The sequence below is a fragment of the Homo sapiens genome, chromosome 22, assembly GCF_000001405.40.
Source record: "Homo sapiens chromosome 22, GRCh38.p14 Primary Assembly".
Lineage (NCBI taxonomy): Eukaryota > Metazoa > Chordata > Mammalia > Primates > Hominidae > Homo > Homo sapiens.
Window position 1 is genome coordinate 16783004 of NC_000022.11, and position 26027 is coordinate 16809030.

The window sequence follows — 26027 nt, forward strand, 5'->3', positions numbered from 1 at the left end:
ATGAAAGATGACAAGTGTTATTGAGAATGTAGAGCAAAGAGAATCCTTGTGCACTGTTGGTAGGAATGTAAATTCGTATTTCAAATTATTAACATGATTATTTATTTTTAATTGAAAAGTTTTTGTGCCTTGAGATGCATTAATATGAGTTGCTTTCTGTTAGTCAAAGTTCAATGAGAAATGCCTTAGTTACCCTAAATTAAGATAAATAGGAGCAGTCTCATAAGACTTGCCTTTCAGATTCTCCTTAAGTACAGAATAAAACCTGTGGTAAATACTCTTTCTGAAGAAAACATGTTCACTGATAATGTATACGCTACAAAAACTTGTTAAAGGCATTCCAAAAACGTACTAGGTGAAAAATGCATTACGGTTATTTTTCCTGCTCAGTTTTTGGATCCAGATGGATTTTTTATTTTGTTTTATTTAATGAATTGTATAATTATAGTTAAGAAAACAAAAATTACTAAGGCACGTTCACAGGAGAACATAAATGAATTTTATTAGAAACCACTTCCAAGATTTTGCTGTGTATATTTTTTAAATTTAAGAGCCTCTTAACAAGTCACATTCAGCATCTTTACTCATTGTTCTGTGAAAGTATATATGTATATTTTATGAACATGTCATACTTTTTCTGATTGAAAAATATCCAACCCTATTGCAGGAGTGACAGTAATTCCTCAGCTGCTTATTTTTATTCTTTTCAGTTTTCTCGATGTTTACATAATAGTACGGTGCTTCTGGCTGATTTTCAGTACGTCCTGGCAACACTTTGCCTGACTGCCATGGGTACAAATACTGATAGAAGAGGAGCATAAAGCCAGTGGCCAATAGGTAGCTTATGATGAGCTGCACGGCAATTAATGAGTCACAACAATTCAGCAAAGTTTTCCCTCCAAAGAACCTAAATACCAATATCATTATCACATTTTCTAAAAACTGAAAGCTGTAGTGTAGGATTCTATGGCCCCACCTCTGTCTCCCGTCAATTATTTTGTCATCTGACAACTGCAGTTTCACTGCTGACCAGCAGGAGAAGTTGATGGCAGCATATAGCAGTGTGATCAAGAAAAGCATCAGTACTGTACCCACCATATTGGAATTATTTTCTTTGTTGCCAGGAAGATGAGCTCCACTTTTCCAAAACTCCAGCCACGGTGCCAACAATGATACAAAATATATGATTAACAAAACGGGTAGGCTCTTCAGTTTCAGAGATGCAATGAAAAATGCCAGAGTCACTACACGTGAGATAACCTCCAAAAAACGCCACATCACGACACAGAAGAATTCTATCGGCGGTAGCTTAATGGTAGTATCATCATTGCTGATCTGGATGGCCAGTATATTGCAGCGAATGGCCCCATAAGTAACTGATAACAGGGAAAATGTCATCAGCAATGCTATTAAAGACAAACATGAAAATGTTAGAGAATATTTTTCATTAGTAATGACCACTTTCTTTTTTAAACTTGCCATTTTAAGATATATTCTTCCTCACCCACCTCCTTTAGAAAATCATTTACTTATAAAAAGAAAGGTTTGTTAATCTTCCATTTTCAGGGATACAGTAAGTATAGGCATGCAAAACATATATTACACCTTGGAAAAACAAATAATAAGCAAATACATACATATCTACATTTATACATGTATATACACATTCCCTCAAAGAGAAGACTGGCACAGATAAAATGGAAGAGACACATTCAGATCTGATGCTATAAGGTGTGACAGCACATATAAAGCAGTCTCAATTAAAAAAAAATACCTGAATTAGACACTGAAAAGACAGTTCCATTCTTTATAGAAAGTTAAGAGTGTTAACTAGGAAGTTAGCATGTGAAATAGGAGACTAATGTAATATAGACTGTGTTTTAGACTATGGTGGTAACAGAAAAGAAGAAATAAGCTGTGGAGTTAAAGTAAATCCTGGAAGTGGAGCTGACAGATTCTGCTGAGTGATGGAATACAAGGTACTAGAGAAGCAGAAAAAAATAAAAAGCTACAGAAATTAAGAAGTATGTGTGGCCGGGCGCGGTGGCTCACGCCTGTAATCCCAGCACTTTAGGAGGCCGAGGCGGGCGGATCACGAGGTCAGGAGATTGAGACCATCCTGGCTAACACGGTGAAACCCAGTCTCTACTAAAAATACAAAAAATTAGCCGGGCGTAGTGGTGGGAGCTTGTAGTCCCAGCTACTCGGGAGGCTGAGGAAGGAGAACGGCATGAACCCGGGAGGCGGAGCTTGCAGTGAGCTGAGATCGTGCCACTGCACTCCAGCCTGGGCGACAGAGCGAGACTCCATCTCAAAAAAACAAACAAAAAAAAAGAAGTGTGTGTGTGCATGTGTGTGATTGTATGTATCCATGCAACTTTATGAGAAACTTTTTCATAAGCAAAATTATTTTAATTTCAACATTGTTCTCTCAACAATTAGACAAATAAGCACATGGAAGAAAACCAAAATTATGAAGTAGTTGAATAATTGGTTTAAGCACTTTTGTACTACATTCAGTTGAAAGAGAAAAAATTCATTTTACATATACATGCAGGTTAAAAAAAAATACACTCTTCAGCTGGGCATAGTGGCTCACACCTGTAATCCCAGCACTTTGGGATGCTGAGGTGGGTGTATCAAGAGGTCAGGAGATCAAGACCATTCTGGGTGACACAGTGAAACCCCATCTCTACTGAAAATACAAAAAATTAGCCGGGCATAGACCCAGATACTCGAGAGGCTGAGGCAGGGCAATTACTTGAACCCAGGAGGCAGAGGTTGCAGTGAACCAGGATAGCGCCACTGGACTCCAGCCTGGGCGACAGAGCGAGACTCCATCTCAAAAAACAAACAAACAAATAAACACTAACAAAAAACACTCTTCATACACAATGAACTTAAGCCAGAAAACAAAAAAAGGCCAAATAGCAAAATAGTCATTCCTCGTCTAAATTTATTATTCACTTTCTAACACCATTTAGAAAATGAATATTAACACTCCATTTATTCCTTAAGGAATACTCAAAGTGAAACTCTAAAACATTAGCATTGTAACTGCATTTATGAGAAATGAGACTGAATATAATAAATGACCTAAAAATTAAATGTTCGAAAGTAAAATTTGGCCAGGTATGGTGACTCATACCTGTAATCCTACCTTTAGGAGGCTGAGGTGAATGGATCACTAGAGCCCAGGAGTTCAAGATCAACCTGGGCAACATGGTGAAAACCTGTATCTACAAAACGCGTGCACACACACACACACACAAATACACAAATTTAGCCAGGCATGGTGGCACATGCCTGTAGTCCCAGCTATTCAGGAGGCTGCAGTGGGAGGATTGCTTGAGCCCAGGAAGAAAACATAGGACTTTCACTTGGGTCTTTATTTTTCTGTGCCTTCACCCCAGCACTTTGGGAGGATGATATCAAGGGGCAAACTTCTAGACACATCCCGACAACAGATGAGAAACTGTGGGCTCAGCAGGATGGAGTCGAGTTCCAGTCAACATTCCTACTGGTTGACTGAATAAACCTCAGAGGGAAGACCATGGCAGCTGCATGCCTTGAGTGCATCCAGTGCTCTACTGTGGGCTACAGGTGCAACCTGGCACTGAGTCAGCTTTGGTGGTCAAATTACTTCAGCCATCAAAGTCTAGGCATTAGGATTCCCCCTACTTCTACCAGGGCTGAAGCTATCATAGACTTAAAGACCTTAATTTCCTTCTTCTTCTTGCCCTGAATCTCTGGACAGGCTTACTGTAGAAAGAAGCTTCCAAACAGAGCCCAGACATGAACACTGAATCAGGCACCTATATCATTGTGCAGATAACAATGCATAGTCACAAAGATCAGGATCAATGACGAGAACATCATGGCACCAAGTGGACAAAATAAGGTGCCAGTTGTGAGTGACCCGAAAGAGATGGGCATGGACACATAGCCTGACAAAAAATTCAAATACTTATTTTAAGACAATGTAGTGGACTTAAGGAAAACACAAACAATTCAGAAATTTATCAGAGAACCTTAGCAAGGAGATTGAAATAATGGGAGGAAAAAACTAATAAAAAAGTTGAAGATAAAAACACAATAAAATAAAAAAAATACAGTTGAGAGTATTGACAGAAGTGGCCAAGCAGAAAAACTCAAGGACAGATCAATTAAAAATATACAGTCAGAAGAAAAAAAAAAGAAATCTAGAAAGTTCATAGGATTTATGTGATAACATCCAAAGAACAAATGTATTAGTCACTGGTGTTCAAGGAAAAGCTGGGTGCAATGGCTCACACCTGTAATCGCAGCTATTTGGGAGGCGGAGGCGGGTGGATCACATGTGGTCAGGAGTTTCAGAGCAGAGTGCCCAACATGGTGAAACTGTGTCTCTACTAAAAATACAAAAATTAGTCAGGTGTGGTTGGTGGACGCCTGTAATCCCAGCCACTCAAGAGGCTGAGGCAGGATAATCACGGAACCCAGGACACGGAGGTTGCATTGAGCCAAGATCACGCCATTGCACTCCAGCCTAGGCAACAAGAGCAAAACTCCGTCTCAAATTAAAAAAAAAAAAAATAAGCGTATTGTAGGAAAAAAAAGTAAAAAGTCTATTTAGAGAAATAACAACAAAAAATTTTCCAAATCTAAATAAAAATATAAATATTCAGGTAAAGGAATATTGAAGTCTTCCAATAAGATTAAATCCAAATAATATCGCCATGGCTTAATATAATCAAACCAACAAATATCAAAGACAAAGACAGCATACAGAATTAAGCAGGATAAAAAAGAAAATATCATATCAGGAATATACATATATATTTATATGCATATATATAATGTAAATATTAATAGATGCAAAGGGAGAAAAAAACTACAAGGTACTAATAGAAAACTTCAGCACCTTACTTTCAGAAATGAATAGATCATGCAGACAGAAAATCAGTAAGTAAACATCAGATTAAAATGCACTGTAGGGCAAATGGACAAAACAGTTACAGAACTATCCATCCAAGAGTTATAGAATACACATTCTTTACTGCATACATGGAACATTTTCCTGGATATATCATACATTAGGCCAAAAAACACATCTTGATGAATTCGAAGAGATCAAAGTCATACAGGGTATCTCTTCTAATATCACTAATTCATAAGTACATGAAAATTAAATTACATACTCCTGAACAACCAGTGAGTCAATGAAGACATTACACAGAAAATACCATATTTCTTGAGACAAAAATAGAAACAGAACACATCAAAACCTACTGGATATGACCAAAGCAGTTTTAAAGGGAAAGTTATGGCAATAAATGTCTTCATCAAAAAGAAGATACGAAATACACCAAACCAAAGAATTAGAAAAACAAAAAGCTAAAATCAAAAGTAAAAAAAGTCACTAATAAATATAATCAGAGACAAAAAAGGAGATGTCATAACTGACACCCAGAAACAAATTAATGGTAAGAAATCAAATCAGCAATAAAAAGTTACCCATTAAAGAAAAGCCCAGGACCTGATAGATTAACTGCTGCATTCTACCTACCACTAAAAAATAACTACTATCAATTCTTTTTAACCTAGTGGAAAAAAATAAAAAAAAGAAGATATGTGAACTGTTCCAGTTCATTCTGTGGGGCCAGCAATATGCTCAATACAAAACCAGACAAGGATACAACAAAGAAGAGAAAACTACAGGCTAATATACCTGATTAACATAATGTAAAAATCCTCAACAGAATACTGGGAAACTGAGTTATAATGCACATTTAGAAAATCATTCATGATTTTCCATGATCAAGTGAGATTACAGGAATACAGGAATGGTTTAATACACAAGAATCATTAAGTGTCATACATTACATCAACAAAATAAATAACAAAATCTAGGTGGTCATTTCAATAAATAAAAAAGCCATTTGACAAAATTCAACATCTTTTTATAATAAAATCTCTCAACAAATTATGCATAGAACAATTGTAACTCAACACAACAAATGACATAAACGAGAATAACCAAATAATGCTCTACATGACAAACCCATAGCTAACATCACACTCAGTGGGAGTTCAAAGTTGAAAGCTTCTCTCTGAAGATCTGAAAGGAGACTAAGAAGTTCACTTTAACTGCTTATATTAACATAATCCTGAAAGTCTTTAGCCAGAGCAACTGGACAAGAGAAAGAAAAGGTACCCAAATTGGAAAGAAAGAAGTAAAATTTTCCATATTTCCTAATGATATTATATGGAAATCCCTAAACACACCACTAAAAAGCAGTTAGAACTATTTCAGAAAATCAGTCAAGTTTCAGTTTACAAAATCAACATATAAATTAAGTAGCATTTTCATATACTAATACGAAAATGTCTACAAAAAAAACCTCAAGAAAATAATCCCATTTACAATAGCTATGGGAAAACAAATGAATGAACAAAAAACCTTTAGAGTAAATTTTACCAAGGAGGTAGAAAATAATCTGCATTCTGAAAATTATGAAGTATTAATAAAAAATTAAAATAACATAAATCAATGGAAAGATATCTATGCTAATTGATTGGAAAAAAGTAATGTGGTTAAAATGTTTATAGGACCCAAATAGGTCCACAGATTCAATGCAATCTCTATCAAAACACCAATGGCATTTTTCACAGAAATAGAAAGAAATTCAAAATTAATATGAAACCGCAGAAAAAAAACCTGAATAGCCAAAGCAATCCTGAAGATGGCCATAGGTTTGGGGAGTGAACCCATAAAGCTGGAGGCATCACAATGCTATAAACCAATGCAACTGAGTATAGTGAGCACAAATAAATCCACACACGGATAGCCAACTGATATTCTACAGAGATGCCAAGAACACAAAATGAGGAAAGTCAGTCTCTTCAATAAGTGGTGCTGGGAAAACAAGAGAGCTACATGCAGAAAAACAAAATCAGAACCCTATCTCTTACTACATACAAAAAATAACTCAAATACACTAAAAAGCCTATAGTGCAGTGGCGTGTACCTATAGTTCCAGCTACTCTGGGGTCTGAGTCAGGAGGATCACCTGAACCTAGGAGTGCAAGGCTGTAGCATGCCACACTCATGCCACTGCACTAACCCTAGGCAATACAGTGAGACCTCATCTGTAAAAATACATTTTTAAAAACGTTTAAAAATAAATATGTAATGAAAACCCTAAACTGTCAAACCTAATAAAACACAGGGCAAACTTAATGACCTTGGTCTGGGCAAGGATTTTTTTTTTTTTTTTGGATAAGACCTCAAAACCACAAGCAACAAAACCACCAACAGACAAATGAGGTTTCATCCTACTAGAAAGCTTCCACGCAGAAAAAAAAAAAAAAAATCAGAGTGATAGAATGAGAGCAAATATTTGCAAATTATACATCAGACAAGGGGTTAATTAAAATATACAAGGAACTTAAAAATATTCAAAAGCAAAACAAACAAATACCACGTGTTCTCACTTATAACTGGGAACTAAATTATGATTACACATGGACAAATAGAGGGAAACAACACGCACTGTGGCCCATTAGAGGCTACAGAGTGGGAGGAAGGAGAACATCAGTGAAAACAACTAATGGACACTAGGCTTAATACCTGGGTGATGAAATAATTTGTACAACAAACCCCTATCATACAAGTTTACTTATATAACAAACCTGCATATGTAGCCCTAAAACTAAAATAGAAGTTAAATTTTAAAAATTAGAAAGAAAAAAATAAACAATTCTCCGTAAAGAAAATAGGTCTCTTAATAGGCCTTTCTCAAAAGGCATTTTTCAAAAGAAGACATGTAAATCAAAACCTGTATGAGACTTCACCTCATCCTGGTTGGAACAGCCATTATTTAAAGAATAAAAAGAAAAAAGAAACGTTGAAAAAAAAAAAAGAATATGGAGGAACGAAAACTCTTGCACATTATGGGTGATAATGCAAATCACTAAACCCATTTTACTCCATGAACAGTTTGGAGCTTCCTCAAAAATTAGAAATTAGTACTAATGCATTATCCAGAAATTCCACTTTTGAGAATGTATCAAAAGGAATTGAATCCAGTATGTTGAAGAGATATATACACTCTCATGTTTATTTCAGCATTATTCACAGTAGCCAAGATATAGAATCACCTCAAGTGTCCATCAGTGAATGAATACATAAAGAAAATGTGGTACATATACACAATGGAAGAGTATTCAGCTATAAAAAAGAATGAAATTCTCATCTGCAGCAACAGGGATGAACCTGGAAGACATTACGTTGAGTGAAAAAAAATGGTCTCACTTTTATGAGAAAACTTAAAAAAAAAAAGACTCTGTGGATATAGAGAGTGAAACAATGGTTACCAGAGACTAGAGTGGTTATAGGAAAAGAAAGAATGAGGAGAATTTTATCAAAAGATTTATAATTACAGTCAGATAGGAGTAATAAATTTAAAGAGATCTATTGTATAGCAGGGTCACTACAGTTAGTGAAGGTATATTGTTGAAATATGTACACAGAATGGATATTAATTGCTCTTACCAAAATAAAAAAAAAAACAGATAACTACGTGAGAAAATGCATTTGTTAATTCTCTGGATTTAACTATTCCATGTTATATATATACTTCAAACATCATCTTGTACACAATAAAAACATACAATGTAACCTGTCGATGTAAAAAAAAAATAGAGAAAGAAAGGAGGCAGGGGGGAGAGAGAGAGGGAGAGAGGGAGAAAGAGGGAGAGAGAGGGAGAGAGAGGGAGAGAGGGAGAGAGAGGGAGAGAGAGAGAGAGAGAGAGAGAGAGAGAGAGAAAGAGAGAGAGAGAGAGAGAGACTGACTCTGAGACTAAAGGGGAAAAACAGCCACACCATAAAATTGTATTACACTGACCACTGGTACCATTTTCTTTTTGTTTTTTTTTTTTGTTTGTTTTTTGCTTTTGTTGTTGTTGTTGGAGGGGATGGAGGTTTGCTCTTGTTCCCCAGGCTGGAGTGCAATGGCACTATCTCGGCTCATTGCATCCTCCGTCTGCTGGGTTCAAGCCATTCTCTTGCCTCAGCCTACCGAATAGTTGAGATTACAGGTACCCGCTACCATGTCCAGCTAATTATTGTATTTTTAGTAGAGACAGACAGGACTTCACCATGTTGGCCAAGCTAGTCTTGAAACCCTAACCTCATGTGATCCACCCACCTTGGCCTCCTAAAATGCTAGGATTACAGGTGTGAGCCACCATGCCCGGCCTACACTGACACAATTTTCATATGTTTATAAATAGGTGTCCGTCTACATTTTGTCAGTTAATAGAAAGCAAATAATTATGAACCTTGTTAAAAAAATTAGTGGTAATAGGAAAAGTGAACACACAAATACACGCAGTCTACAGATCTGTGCGTACAATGAAAACTGCATCTAATGCCATGAAGCTAGTAGAACTTATTTGTAAAAAAATTTCCAACTATAGATCCTATCCCATGGGATATGGTTGTGGTTGTATAGTTATAGGTTTATTCAGCCATCATTTGTTTTACTGCTGAAGGTCTCATATAATTCAATAATTTTGGACACATGTAAACGTGTACCTAACTGCTTCTCATTTGGTTTGAATGCCCACTTGTCAAATATCTATTGATTTGGCAAACAACTTCTTAGTCTTAGTTTGTTGTTCACATATATGCTAAAAACTTCCCTTGTTACGAAAGAATTTCAAATGACATCTGATGTCAAATGACATCTTTGTAATAAAATACTGTATATTTCATGTCTTTTAGTGATGTTTTGTTCAAGTCTATATTTATCAACTCCGAAAATAAAAAATGATTACCTTCCTTTTACATGTTGCAACCAGCACTTCCCTCTTAAACGCCAAATAAAAATGTTTTGATTTTATTTTACCTTTGCAGATAATCAACATGCGTCTGGTTCAACTAGTTATCTTCCTATTCACGTATACTTGAATGGCATATATCTAAATGTCTACATTCCTGCTGACTATTTTTTATTTTTTATTTTATTTTATTTATTTTTTGAGGCAGAGTTTTGCTCTTGTTTCCCAGGCTGGAGTGCAATGGGGCCATCTTGGCTCACCGCAACCTCTGCCTCCCGGTTTCAAGCGATTCTCCTGCCTCAGCCTCCCCAGTAGCTGGGATTACAGGCATGCTCCACCACGCCCGGTTAATTCTGTATTTTTAGTAGAGGCAAGGTTTCTCCATGTTGGCCAGGCTGGTCTCTAACTCCTGACCTCAGGTGATCTGTCCGCCTCGGCCTCCCAAAGGGCTGGGATTACAGGCGTGAGCCACTGCCCCTGGCCCTCGTGACTATTTTTTGAATTTGACATGATAGGGTAATGAAAAGGTGCAAAGACAGTGCAGACATGTTCAATGTACACTTACATATTCCCCCAAAGGCTGCATTTTAAATAATTTTGCGTAATTCCAGTACACGGGTTAAGAGAAAACTGACATTGGTTCAGTGTGTGTGTTGGGGGTTCTACTTCATGTTATTTAGGTGTAGATGCAGGTAACTGCCACTACAATCATGTTACTGAAGAGAGCAGAAATCACCTGGTGACCATAAAACAGACCACCCAGAGACAAAACTTCTTATCTGAGGAATTTAAATGGGAGCAAAGACCACCTGGTGACCATCAAATAGGCTGTCAAAGAGGCAAAACTCCTTGCCTGGGAATTTAGAATCAAATTTTCTGAATATCTAAAGTCAGCATGTCGTTTTGGGTCTCTTTCAACATTTACTGCAAGTTACTAAAATTTCAAATCAACCCAAGGAAGCCAAGCAATGCAACAAAGAAATTCAAGAGCTGAAAGATGAAATAGCCACTTAAAGAAAGACCAAAACTTGACTTCTTCAGCTGAAAACTTCACAATAAGAACATTATAATACAAATGGAAGTGTTAAGAGGGGAATAGACCAAGCTGAGGAAAGAATTTCAGAGCTCCAAGACTGGTTCTTCAAATCAACTTGGTCAAACAATAATGAAGCAAAAATAATTCAAAATGAATAAAACATCCAAGAAATATGGGGTTACGTAAAGCAACCAAATCTGTGACTTGACTCACCAGCATTCCAGAGAGAAAAGGAGGAAGAATAAGCAACTTGAAAAATAAATTTGAGGAGACAGTCATGAAAGTCTTCCTCATCACACTAGAGAGGTCAACATCCAAATCCAAATAAAATAGAGAACCCCAGCCAGATGCTATGTAAGATGACCATTCCCAAGGCACATAGTCATCAGATTCACCAAGGTCACTGCAAAAAGAAACAAACAAACAAACAAAAGAAAGGAAACAAACACGAAAATATAAATGCAGCTAGAGAGAAGTGGCAGGTCACTTATAGAGAGAACACCATCAGGATGGCAGCAGACCTCTTAGCAGAAACCAGAGACTGGTGGCCTATTTTCAACATTAAAAAAAAAAATCCAAGAATTTTATATCCCACCAAACTAAGATTCATAAGGAAAAAAGAAATACAATTATTCTCAGACAAACAAATGCTAAGGGCATACACTTTAAATAGATTAGGCTTTCAAGACATCCTCAAGGGAATGCCAAACGTGCATTTGAAAGAATGGTATCTGCTCTCACAAAAGCACACTTAAGCGCAAGCCCACATGCACTTTAAAGCAGCTACACAACGAAGTCTACCTAACAACCAGCTAACAACATAACAGGATCACAATCACATATCAATACTAACCTTGAATGACACACAGTGGTAGGCTGAATAAAAAGACAAACCCAACCATCTGTGGTCTTCAAGGCACTCATCTCACATCCAATGACACCTGTACCCTCAAAGTAAAGGAGCGGGTAAGATCCATCATGCTAATGGAAAACAAAGAGAGCAGGAAAACAGATGTGAAACCAGTGAAAATTGAGAAGGACAATGAAGGTCATTACATAATAATAATGGGTACAATCAAACACTGTCCTAAATACACATACATACAAAAATGGAGCACCGATTTGTAGAACAAGTTCTTGACTAAAAAAGAAACTCTGGACTTAAACTCAACACTTGACCAAATGGAACTAACACACATCTACAGAATGAACATGCCACCCAACAAATGAAGAATTGTCATTCTTCTCATCTGCACAGAATATAGCCTAAGATGGACTCTGAGCAATTTACTAAGGCAAGCCTCATTAAATTCAAAAGAAACAAATCACACAAAGCACACACTCTTGGTCCACGGTGCAATAAAAATAGAAATCAATACCAAGAAGATCTCTCAAAATACAAAAATACAGGGAAATCAAACAACTTACAACAGAATAACTCCCAGGTGAATATAAAAATTAAGGCAGAAATTAAAATAATTATTTGAAATAAATGAAAATAGGAAAAACTTTCCCAAATCTTTGGGATGCAGTCAAAGCAGAGTTAATTGGAAAGTTTATAGCCCTAAAATGCCTTCATCAAGAAGTTAGAAAAATCTCAAATTAACAATTTAACTTTGCACCTAAAAGAACTGGGAGGGAGGGGGAACCAACACCAAATCTAGCAGAAGAAAATAACTAAAGCTAGAGAAGTTAATGAAACTGAGATGCAAAATAAATATAAAAGATCACTTAAACCAAACCAAGAGTTGGCCTTTGAAAATAAAATAAATAAATAAATGGATAGTGTGCTACCTAAATTAACAAAGACAAAAAAAAAAGGCTGCGTATGATGACTCACCTCTGTAATCCCAGTACTTTCAGAGGTTGACATGGGAGGATTACTTGAGGTCAAGAGTTTGAGACCAGCTTGGCCAACATGGTAAAACCCTGTCTCTACTAAAAATAGAAAAATTAACCAGGCATGGTGGTACATGCCTGTAATCCCAGCTACTCAGGGGGCTGAGGCATGAGAATTGCTTGAACCTGGGAGGTGGAAGTGTCAGTGATGCAAGATCATGTCACTGAACTGCAGCCTTGGTGACAGAAAAAAACTCAGTCTCAAAAAAAAAGGGACCAGAAAATCCAAAGAAGCACAATCAAAACAATATAGGCTATATATGACTGATCCCACAGAAATACAAAAGATCCTCAGAGACAACTATGAACAACTCTATGAACACAAATTAGAAAATCCAGAGGCAACAGATAAATTCTTGGAAGCACACAATCTCCCAAGACTAAATCAAGAAGAGATTGAAACTGAATAGGCCAATATCTATGCCTTAAATTGTTTAGGTAATAAAGAACCTACCAATATTTTAAAAAAAAATCCCTGGAGCAGATGAATTCATAGCCAAATTTTTCCTGATGTACAAAGAATTCATAACAACGCTATTATAATTCAAACAAATGGTGGAGGGGCCTTTTTCCCATCTCATTCAATGAGCCCAGATTCTATGAGCCCAGCATCAGCCTGATACCAAAACCTGGCAGAGACACAAGAAAACTTCTGGCCAATATCCCTCATGAACACAGATGCAAAAATCCTTAACAAAATCTCAGCAAACTGGATCTCACAGTGCATCAAAAAGCTAGTACACCACAATCACAGTAGGCTTTCTTCCTGGAATGCAAAGCTGGCTCAACATGTCCAAATCAATAAATGTGATCACCACATAAACAGAATCAAAAGTAAAAACCAAAACAGAAAAAGGGATTGATAAAATCAAACATCTCTTCATGATAAACTCAACACATTAAGCATCAAAAGAATGTACTTGAAATAATAAGAGTCTTCTATAATGAACCCATAGCCAACATCATACTGAATGGGCAGAAGCGCAAATTATTTAATGCTATCCCTGTCAAACTGCCAACGTCATTCTTCACAAAATTAGAAAAAATTCTATTCTAAATTTCATGTGGAACAGCAACAACAAGAAGCCCAATTAGTCAAAGCAATCATAAGCAAAAATAACAAACCCAGTGATGTTACACTACCTGACTTCAAACTACACTTAAAAGCTGCAGTAGCAAAAACAGCTTAGCACTGGGGCAAAAATAGACACAGAGACCAAGAAAACAGGTCAGGGAACCCAGGTATAAAGCCACACACCTACAACCATCTGATCTTTGACAAGGCCAATGAAACAGGCAATGGGAAAAGGATTCCCTTTTAAATAAATGAATCTAGGATAACTGGCTAGCCATATGTAGAAGAATTAAACTGAACTCCTACCTTTCACCATATACAAAAATTAACTCAAAATGGATGAAATGTTTAAATGTAAGACCTCAAACTATAAAAATTGTGGAAAATAACCTAGGAAGCATTATTTTAAACACTGATAGTGGCAAAAAATTTTTAGCTAAGTCCCCAAATGCAATTTTGCATAAAACACAAAAATAGAAAATTGGGACCTAATTAAACTAAAGGTTTTCCGCACAGCAAAAGAAACTGTAAACAGAGCAAACAGACAACCTACACAATGGGAGAAGATATTTGCAAACGATGCATCCAGCAAAGGCTTAAGATCCAGAATCTATAGGGAACTTAAATCAACAAGCACAAAACAAATAACTCTGTTAAAAAATAGGTAAAAGTGGCCAGGCGCAGTGGCTCGCGCCTGTAATCCCAGCACTTTGGGAGGCTGAGGCGGGCAGATCACGAGGTCAGGAGATCAAGACCATCCTGGCTAACATGGTGAAACCCCGTCTCTACTAAAAATACAAAAAAATTAGCTGGGCATGGTGGTGGGCACCTGTGGTCCCAGCTGCTTGGGAGGGTGAGGCAGAAGAATGGTGTCAACCCAGGAGGCGGAACTTGCAGTGAGCCGAGATTGCACCACTGCACTCCAGCCTGGGCGACAGAGTGAGACTCTGTCTCAAAAAAAAAAAAAAAAATAGGTAAAAGAAAATGAACAGATACTTCTCAAAAGAAGACATACAAGTGTCCAACAAGCATATGAAAAACTGCTCAGCATAAGTCCATGTGCAGTGGCTCACCCCTATAATCCCAGCACTTTGGGAGGCTGAGGTGGGTGGATAACCTGAGGTCAGGAGTTCAAGACCAGCCTGGCCAATATAGCAAAACCTTGTCTCTACAAGGTTTTACAATGTCAAAATTAGCTGGGCATGTTGGCACATGCCTGTAATCACAGGTACCTGGGAGGCTGAGGCAGGAGAATCACTTGAATCTGGGAGGTGGAGGTTGCAGTGGGTCAAAATCATGCCAGGGCACTCCAGCCTTGGCAACAAGAGTGAAACTCCATCTCAAAAAAAAAAAAACAACAACAACAAAAACCCCCACAATTTCAGCATCAGTAATCATCAGAGAAATGCAAATCGAAACCACAATGAGATAGTATCTCACACCAGCAAAAATGGCTACTATTAAAATGTCAGAAACCAACACATGTTGGGTGAGGATGCTTTTGAGAAAGGGGAATGCTTACACACTGCTGATAGAAGTATAAGTTAGATCAGCCATTGTGGAAAGCACTCTGGAAGTTTCTCAAAGAATTTAATACAGAGCTACCATTTCAACCCAGCAATCCCATTAGTGGGTATGTACCCAAAGGAATATAAATCATTCTAGGTCCAAGACACATACAGTCATATGTTCATTGCTGCACTATTCACCATAGCAAAGACATGGGATCAACTCAGGTGCCCATCAATGGTACACTGGATAAGGAAAATAACTGATTAATTTCTTTCGTATGGTTGCATAGTATTCCATGTATGTGTATGTGGAATACTGTGCTGTCATATAAAATAAATAAATCATGTCGTTTGCATCAACATAAATGCAGGTGGAGGCCATTATCCTAAGCAAATCAATGCAGGAATAGAAAACCAAATAGATTTATTACTCATAAGCAGAAGCTGAACATTCAGCACACCTGAACTTAAATATGGAAATAACAAACATTGTCAACCACTATTGGGTGGAGGGAAGAACAGCGTGGCCTAAGAAAAACTCCCTACTGTGTACTATGCTTACTACCTGGGTGATGGGATCCATACTCCAAACCTCAGTATCTCACAATATTCCCATGTAACAAGCCTGTACGTATACTGTACATATACTCCCTGTATCTAAGGTAAAAATTTAAAATAAAATATACAGAACTATTTGCCTGGTGACTTTTATACAATTTTATAGTCTTAGGCACATTCTCACTTTCATGCAGTTTCGACTTCTATTAAAAGCAATGCTGTTTGGCTGGGCGCGGTGGCTCATGCCAGTAATCCCAGTACTTTGGGAGGCCAAGGCAGGTGGATCACGAGGTCAGGAGATCGAGACCATCCTGGCTAACACAGTGAAACCCGATCTCTACTAAAAATATGAAAAAATTAGTCGGGCATGGTGGCGGGCACCTGTAGTCCCAGCTACTCAGGAGGCTGAGTCAGAAGAATGGCGTGAACCTGGGAGGCGGAGCTTGCAGTGGGCCGAGATCGGGCCACTGAACTCCAGCCTGGGCGACAAAGTGAGACTATGTCTCAAAAAAAAAAAAAAAAAAAAAGCAATGCTGTTTATACAAGGTAGATTATAACAAAAATATGTTTTAGATAAAAACTTATTCCTCTGCTTCATCTCTAAATATTATATCAAGCTTAATTTAACTCTTCAGGGTCAATAAAATAAATTGCTGCTAACTTTTAATTATATTAAATTTCTATGGATTCCAGCAGCATCTTTTTATAATCTGCTAATCAAATAAATTCATAGAAACTCAATCTTATAAAAAATTTAGTGCAACTGTAATTTGGGATTACATATTTCAACTTCTCAATTTCTATTATATTAGTACACTTTATTGACCTTTGTGTGTCTTTCAGCATCAAGTAACTCAACTTACCTCTATTCAAAGGCCATTCTCGTATAGTGAGACTGATATACATCTGCAAAATTAATTGTGGAACAGAACCGAGAAAAGCCTGAATCACTGACATGTACTTGAAAGCCTTCTGCTGCATGAAATTATCCCGGATTGAGAATGCAATCTCCCTTTCCAGCATCGTGTTTCTCTTTGTGATGCTAACTTGAGTCTCTTCCTTCTCCTGTTTAAGATTTTTCAACCATTTGTGGTAATTTCTAATGGTGTGCAAACACCTGTTAACATGAAGTAACATCCAAGATTAACATTTATTGGTGACAGACATCTAGAAATATTTGAAAGTTTATCAGGAGAGGAACTCTTAATTTTGAAATTATACTATCAAATGGCAAATATTAACTTAATCACACTGGATAAAAAATAAGTTTCTAACAGTTTCTAATATTATTATTTATGGTAGTTCTTCCCCTCATTTTCAACTTCAAATAATACATAACTGCAGTCTGATAAACAAAAATTCAAACAGCAGATGAAAAGTAAAAATTTCCTCATTCATACACAATTCAATTCACTTTCTCAAGGTCAGTTTGATTAAATAATATCACAATGTTTTTCTAATGCGTTAATATTCTGACACATACAAAAGCTATTTCTCCAGAAACATACTATTCTGACAACTTTTTAAAGACATCAATGTTTTTAGGTGTTCTTCCCATGATACAAATGTCAACTGCCTCAAAGGAAGGACCCCAGATTTTCATTGGAACATATTTTGACTTATGATTTTTCTCTAGTGATGAAATTTAGCTCATTTAGCATTATTTTAAGACAGCAGTCTAAAAAAACTCAATGAATGCTTAAAACAGCCACAGGTAAGTGATAAAAACATACACAGATATGATCTATAGTGGAGTTTAACTTCAAAGTAGTCCTCAAAGAACTTTCACAAATAAAAATCTATGGGAAATAAGCAGATCTTTATAAAAAATCACAAAACATGAATAAAAGCAAGATACCATGAATAAGAAGCACAAGATGACCCCAACGTATTTCCTATGTAAAATTTACCAAACCAAAAAATATTTACTTTTTGAAGAAATAATGGAGTACTTCAGAAGTATGAAAAAATAATGCTTCTCAATGATGAGCAAGTATTAAAAAGAACCAACAGAATCTCTAGAAAACAAAATATAAAAAACACTGGGTAAATTAAATAGTTGAAAGCTAATTCGATAATTGAAAAATAAATAACTTTAACAAAATTACAAAAAAATGTAGCAAAGAGAGAAAGGAGCATCTAATATATGATGGAGATTATAGGGCATTTAAGAAAAGAGTGACAAAGCCTACACTTCTGATCAGAATTTTAAAAGAATACAGGAAGTGGCAGTATTTTTAAAATAATGACTAGAAAAAGAGTTTCAAATTGTTACAATCATGAATTCTCAGATTAAGGAAGTCTTATATATCCTAGGCAGAAAAGATTTATAAAGAATAAAATTAAATAAGTGTGGCCAGGTTCACTGGCTCATGCCTGGAATCCAGCACTTTGGGAGGTCAAGAAGGGGCGGATCCCTTGAGCTCAGGAGTTGGAGACCATTCTGGGCTACATGGTGAAACGCTATCTCACCTAAAAATACAAAAATTAGCCTGGTGTGGTGGTGCATGCCTGTAGGTAGTCCCAGTTATTGCTGAGGCAGGAGTATCGCTTGAGCCTGGGTGGCAGAAATTGCAGTGAGCTGAGATTACACCACTGCTCTCCAACCTGCACAACACGGCAAGATGCCATTTCAAAAAAATAAATATATAAGTAAGTGTAAGTTTTAAAATAACGCAATGCGGGCAAATAGACTAAACGTACATGTTCAGAACTACAAGTTGTCAGGTGTTAAAGAGTTATAATTAAAGCATAAGAACAAGAAATAAAAGCTATCAGCAAAAAAAAAAAAAGCAAACAACAGAAAAGGCAGAAAAGGCTGTTTGTGCTTTTATAAAATCAGAAGAAACATTTCAATGCAAAAAAAGTGTCATCAGCATAATAAAGGTCAGTGCAAAATATTATTTTGTCAGAAAACTGTATTAATTTTAAGCTTCTATACACCCAATAACTTGCAAAAATGAACAAATCCAGCACAAATCTGAAAGAAAAGTATGTGACTAAATGGTCTGGAGCCCATTTTCTCTAATACAAACTGCAATTTTCCAAAAAGGAGACATTGTTAAAATTTATAAAAAATCATTAATGTAAGTAACACCATTCTTTAAACAAACAGAATATTTTCAATATCTCCAAAGTCTCCTCTGTCATTGTCTACTATTGTACCTCTCTCTCACCACATAATCCAATGGCCATAATATATCATTTCATTAGACCCTATTAACTAGCTCTTCTTTAGCAATTATGAAATGTATGATAAATTAAATAGAAAATCATATCACTATACCCTTTAGATACTTTTGACCTTTAAGTACACACTATCATTTATTATCTCTATCTTCTGACCAAATAGAAAACAGTTTTTCTCCCATCCCTTGTCTTTCATTATCTTATATGAAGAATTTTATCAGGGTTTGGGGAAGGAAAAATTTATAGATACTTGATTGAATTGTCTTAGCTTCAAAAAGGAAAAAGAAAGAAGGTAAGGAGTAAAGGAAAGAAAGAAGATAACTGAGAACATTTAGAGGTAGAATGTCTAATATTTAATCCTAACAGATAATTCATGTAAACCATCCCAGTCTTTCTTTTTTTTTTCTTTTTTTGAGACAGAGTTTGCTCTGTTGCCAGGCTGGAGTACAGTGGCGTGATATTGGCTCACTGCAACCTCTCCTTCCCAGGTTCATGTGATTCTCCTGCCTCAGCCTCCCAAGTATCTGGAACTACAGGTGGGCGCCACCAAACCCAGCTAATTTTTGGGTTTGTAGTAGAGACAGGGTTTCACCATGTTGGCCCGGATGGTCTCGATCTCTTGACCTTGTGATCTGCCTGCCTGGGACTCCCAAAGTGCTGGGATTACAGTCATGAGCCACTGCACCCAGCAGTCATCCCAGTCTTCCTACAAACTCATTAACTGACACCAAATGTGATGCTTGTGAAAAACAAAACAAGGTTTTTCCTTCATCCTTTTCTTTTTATTTTTTTGACATTAAAATAAGACATTAAGACAGCTTTGCAGAAATAAAATAGTCACACAAGTTAAAAAGTTGGCCATGAAAGTAAGACTTTCTAAAACCTTGTGGAGATCGTGGAGAGGATGTTAAGCTGTAAAGTTATGTTAATCAGGGACTTCCATGTCAATCCATCTTAAGGTTGGTAGTGTCCTCAATTGACATATATATATATATACACACACAATTTTCCTTAGTTACAGTAGACCAGAATTTAACAATCATTATGTTTTCATAAATTACCTTTCCACTTTTGCATATACTTGTTTTGTTGTCTTAAGGCATAACTATAATAAAATCTATTAAAAATGCTATAGCCTGTCAAAAATGAGAAAAAAACTAGAAGAAACTGCAGACCAATATCCTTTATGAACCACAGACAAAAAAGTCCTCAACACCACACTAGAAAGCCACACTCAGCGACATATAAAAAATGATAATACACAACAACCAAATAGGATTTATTTCCACAACAAGAAGAGATTTGTCAGAGGCATGTGAACTAGAGCAACTCCATCTTAAACAGGAGCTAGGAAAAATGAATGTGAAACACACTGGGCTGCATTCCCAGATATTTAAAGCATTCTAAGTTACAGGATAAAAAGGAGGTTTTATAATGGCTGCCCTTAGAGAATACATGGCAAATGTGTTCTAAAATGTGTGTAATAAAAACTACAGGTCATAATGAACTTCCTAATAAAACAGGTTGCAGCAAAGGAGCCAGTCAAAATGCACGAAAACCAAAATGGCCACAAGAGTGACCTCTGGTCGTCCTCACTGCTGCGCTCCCACCAGTGCCATGACAGTTTACAAATGCCATGGCAACATCAGGAAGTTACCCTATAAGGGCTAAAAAGGGGAGGCATGAATAATCCACCCCTTGTTTAGCATACCATCAAGAAAGAACCATAAAAATGGGCAACCAGCAGCCTTTGGGCATGCTCTCTCTATGGAGTAGCCATTCTTTTATTCCTTTACATTCTTAATAAACTTGCTTTCACTTCACATTGTGGACTTGCCCTGAATTTTTTCTTGCACAAGATCCAAGAACCCTCTCTTGGGGTCTGGATCAGGACCACTTTCCCATAACAGATTCAACATATAAAAATCAGTGAAATACATCATGTTAACAGAATAATGAACAAAAATCACAGGATCATCTCAACAGGCAGAAAAAATCATTTTGCAAAATCCAACACATCTCAAAATAAAAACACTCAACAAACAGTACTTTCTCAGACTAGGAAAAGCCATCAATTAAGAAAAAAAAAGCTAGTACAATATTTCATGCCAAAAATGAGGACTAAGCTCTCATTTTGTAATCTTGCCCAAATCCCTATATAAGGGGTCTGGGTACTAATGCCCTACAAACCATAAATTCTCATCAGATGGATTCTAATTAACCCTATATAATGTGACTTACTTTCCAGTCTGACTCTGGCATAACAAAACAAAATAAAGAAGAAAGTAAAAATATTTTACCCCAAAACATGTTTTTTTTCCCCTCATGTTTTGAAATGGCCCTACAAAGCTGTCCTATGTGGGGGAAAATTTGGATCTGCATGGAATCTCTATTAATTTCCCCAGATCTTTTACTTCCAGGCCCTCCCAAATCTGAAGAGATTAACTGAAAGTCTAGCACTTTTAAAAGGTGTGAATAGAACACATTTGTCATGTATTCTCTAAGGGCAGACATTATAAGACTTCAAAAGAACCTTGGTCTCCACAATATTTTATCTTAACCTGTTTCCTTTCTATCATCCCAGCTGTTTAGATAAACTCACCCAGTTGTCAACCAGAAAATGTTTAAATTTACCTATAGCCTGGAGTCCACCCAACCACCCCACTGTTTTGAGCTGTCAAGCCTTTCTGGAACAAACCAATGTATTTATTAGTTTATTTGATTGATGTCTCATGCCTCCCTAAAATGTATAAAACCACGCTGTACCCTGACCACATTGGGCACATGTACTCAGGACTTCCTGGGAACAGTATCATAGCCCACGGTCACTCACATTTAGCTCAGAATAAATCCCTTCAAAATATTTTACAGAGTTTAACTCTTTTCATCGACCAAAGACTGAAAACTTTCTCCCTTATGTCAAAAATAAGTGAAACATGTAAACTCATTTTCAATATAGTACTAGAGGTTCTAACCAAAATAATTAGTTGTTGGGTTACCAGGTAAGATGTGAAAGGCAAACAGATTAAAAAAAGGAGATGTGAAACTACCTCTATTCAAGATGACATAATTTGTATACAGAAAATCTGGAGGAATCCACACAAAAAAACATTAAAGCTAGTAAATAGTCTCAGCATAGTTTCAGTACACAACATCTGTATGCAAAAATGATTTGTATTTCTACATACTAGCAATGAACGATTGAGAATGATGCTTTAAAAACCTTATTTATAATAACCTAAAAAAGAAAATATTCAGAAATAACTTTGACAAGTAAGTGTAAGACCTGTACATTTAAAACTACCAAACATCAACAAAAGAAGTTAAAGACCTAAGTAAATGTAAATACATCACAGGACCGTGAGTTGAAAGACTTCATATTATTAAGATGACAATACTCCCCAAACTTATCTACAGATTCAATTCATTCCATATCAAAATTCATTGCCTTTATTGTTGTTATTATTATTCACAATATTTGGCAGAAACAATCAACTGATCAGTTGGGAAATGCAAAGGACTCCACACAGCCAAACAATTTTGCAAAAATAATATTATCAACTTAATTAATTTGTTAATTAATACGTTCTACTTAAAAACTTATTACAAAACATTATTCATCAAACTGGTAATAAGAATTAATACATAGATCAATGGGATAGATAAGACACTCCAAAATATACACTCATATTTACCGTCAGCTGATTTTCAACAAGGCTGCCAGGTCCATTCAAAAATCAAATAGAAACCAAAATCACAATGAAATTTTATTCATTCGCATTAGGAGCTATGATTTAAAGAGACAGTAGGAGTGGAGAAGGATGTGCAGAAATAAGAACCCCTAATTATTGCTAGAGGGAGCTAAGGGTGAGGAAGTACAGTTACTTTGGTAAACAGCCTGAGAGTTTCTCAAATGTCAGTCTGACAGTCTGGCAATTCCTCACTAGAGGTCAGGAGTTGGAGACCAGCTTGGCCAACCTGGTGAAACACTACCTCTAATAAAAGTATAAAAGTCAGTTGAGCATGGTTGTGGGCACCTATAATTCCAGCTACTTGGAAGGCTGAGACAGGAGAATCTCTTGAGCTTTGTAGGCAGAGGTTGCAGTGAGCCAAGATTGTGTCAATGCACTCCAGCCTCGGTGAAAAAGAATGATAGTTCATCTCAAAAAAAAAAAGAAAAAAGTCAATTAATCAATACTTTCTTATTTAGCTCGTGAAAAACCTTTGTAACATTTGACATCACATCTGGTAATAATTCAAGACTCCCTTTATATATTTATATTTTTAAATTTACATGTTTATATAATTCATATATAAACATGTATTTCCATTTTATAATGCAGATCACATTTTGTGATGGAATATAGTTAAGGTTTTTTTTTTTTTTTTTTGACAGAGTTTTGCTCTGTTGCCTAGGCGCAACTTCTGCCTCCCAGTTTCAAAAGATTCTCTGGCTTCAGCCTCCCAAATAGCTGGGATTACAGGCATGCACCAACACGCCCGGCTATTTTTTTTGGTATTTAGCAGAGACGGTTTTTCACCATGTTGATCAGGCTGGACTCTACTCCTGACCTCAAATGATCCGCCTGCATTGGCCTCCCAAAGAGCTGGAATTACAGGGATGAGCCACCACACCCAACCTACAGTTAAGTTTTAAATCAATAACAAAACAGTTAACAATAATAAAAAGTAAAATGAAAATATACTTTGCATTGTATTAACCTAAAATGTAAATCCATGATGCAAGAATCCTAAAAAATATAAAAACTTCAATAAAGAAAACACACCAAAAAAAACCACTTAAGATACATCAATCTTAAATAAATATTAATTCCTATGTGGTCCATAAATATGAAGAATTGTTCTTTCAAAGCACGTTAGTCTTTCCCAAAGTTAATCTATAAGTTTAATTGGATAAAATAAAATTTATCAACATCTAGCTCTGAAATTCACACAGAAAAATAAACTTGAGTTTACCTAAAACATTCAGTGAAAAGAAAGTTATAAAAGAATTTACCTGCCAAATTTTATGTTTATTCACATATATAGTAACTAAGAATTTAGAACTATGAGTAAGACAGATTAACATAACAAAATTTACAGTACTCATGCAAATCAGTGTAGTAACAGACAGAAGTGATATGGAAATGAATTGCTAAGCTATGTTTTGATATTCCAAGTCACAGCTACAAATTCCAGGATGTCTGGAAAATTACCACTAAAAAGTTAAATTCGCTTCAGTTGACAAATAAAATTTATGAGATTATTTTCAAGTCTTTCTCTCTTCTCACTCACTCTACTCTCATTCCTTAATTTAAGGTTATAGTTCTAGGCCTCATAACTATTTAAAATGCCCATTAGGCCGAATGAGAAAAATAGTAAAGACTGGAATACAACACATACATAGAAAGAAGAAATGACTGACTCATTCCCATTTGCATTTTTAAAAAACTATCATTACCTTATAACTGATGACAATTAAATAGGAACAGTTACGAAAGTGTGAAAACTAAATAAATCTAAAGAGGGAAATATTTCAATTCCGTAAACGATAATTATGGCATCCTTAATCTTTTTAGCCATCTATTTATATTCAATTTACTTGTTGGAGGCAGTGAATGAGAAATATTTGTGTCACTTACCTCACAATAGGTCCTAAAAGAAGAATGTGCCAAAAAAGTAATGCAGCCTTATTTCTCCTCAAGTCTTTGTTGAAAAACATCAGGATAATTTGATCCAAAATTGCCCCCACAATAATAAAGCTGATGGTAAATGACATCCAGAATGTGTCATTAGCTTTTCGATAAATTTCAAACATGTATAAACCAAAGGCAACCTCACCACAGTAGAGAACAGTTGAGAAGATAATGCTAAAAGGAAAGCTTAGATGGAGTCTCTGGCCAAGGACTATTTCTTCTTTCGAAGATGAAACTCCTCCTGTGCTTTCTTCATCCATCTCTTCAAACACTGTCTCCATTCTCAGGGTGCTGCTAATTCAAAGTCGTCTTGTCAGTGAATCCAGTAGAGTTCAGTATTAAATTTAAACAGAAGTAAACAAGATTCTCTATAATTCACTATTCATAGAAAATGTTAACAGGTAGATATGGATCACTAATCAGAATAGAAAAATCCATGTCTGGTTTAGGGAATATTGAACTATGATGTCTAATTTGACATACTATTTCTTCAGAAAACATTGTTTTAAAGAAGTAGACGATCAAACTTCTATAAGGCATCAACTACCTCTTAGCACTGAGATGATAGTCCTATCTCCAAGTAGTATGAAAGAAATGTTCATTACTCATAAGTTTTCTTTTTGTGCTTTTCAGCCAATGTCTGCAGCTGACATCCACTAAAATAAAACGGCACAATCTAAGCCAAGTCTAACCATGATGACACTAAGAAAACTATCCCCAGATATTCCTGATTAGTAAAGGAATACAGAATAGTGAGGCCTTTAAGTTCCACTTATTGCTAGATGTTGGTTATTTGCATTTAAAATACTGTTTCTTGACTGAACTTAACTCTATGAAGTTATTAATCTAGTAAAGTTTCAATTTAAATAGATGTAAAATCCAGACTGCATGGCAATAGTAGGTTTAAACTCTCTTTTGTTGGGGGGAAAAACAGCTCATTTTAGGTTCTCTGTAGACAAACCGCCAGAAAAATTACTGACATACTGTGAACATCAATTAGTCACTATGTGTGGGAAGCAATATAAAACAAAATGAATAAGAAGGAAAATAAAAGGCAACAGTACTTTTAAATCAAGTAAATATTAAAATGAAATTGTTTTAGAGAAATATTTTTCTGACTAAAAATGCTGTTAATATATTGAAAGCACAAAAAATGAGTAAGCATCTAATGCAAATTTCCAGAAAGAAAGATAATATTTCCCCAGAAGACGTTGGTGGTTTTTAAAAACATATTAATG

The 26027-nt window shown here is 36.0% G+C and overlaps 1 protein-coding gene across 6 annotated transcripts in view; it reads right to left on the minus strand.

Annotated features, from left to right (window-relative positions):
- Positions 1-476: 476 nt before the first annotated feature.
- XKR3 (XK related 3) overlaps positions 477-26027 on the minus strand; it is a 41932-nt gene continuing 16381 nt past the window's right edge. For 3 of the 6 annotated variants that reach the window (NM_001386957.1, NM_001386955.1, NM_175878.5), the window contains 3 exons: positions 24736-25080; positions 16768-17021; positions 477-1406 (listed from right to left, as the gene is read on the minus strand). In NM_001386957.1, the coding sequence (NP_001373886.1) occupies positions 616-1406; positions 16768-17021; positions 24736-25070 (1380 nt within the window). In that variant the 5' untranslated portion in view covers positions 25071-25080 and the 3' untranslated portion in view covers positions 477-615. Of the gene's footprint in view, positions 1407-16767; positions 17022-18376; positions 18506-24735; positions 25084-26027 lie in introns of those variants that run through there. The other 3 variants (NM_001386956.1, NM_001318251.3, XM_047441151.1) reach the window with 2 other exon arrangements.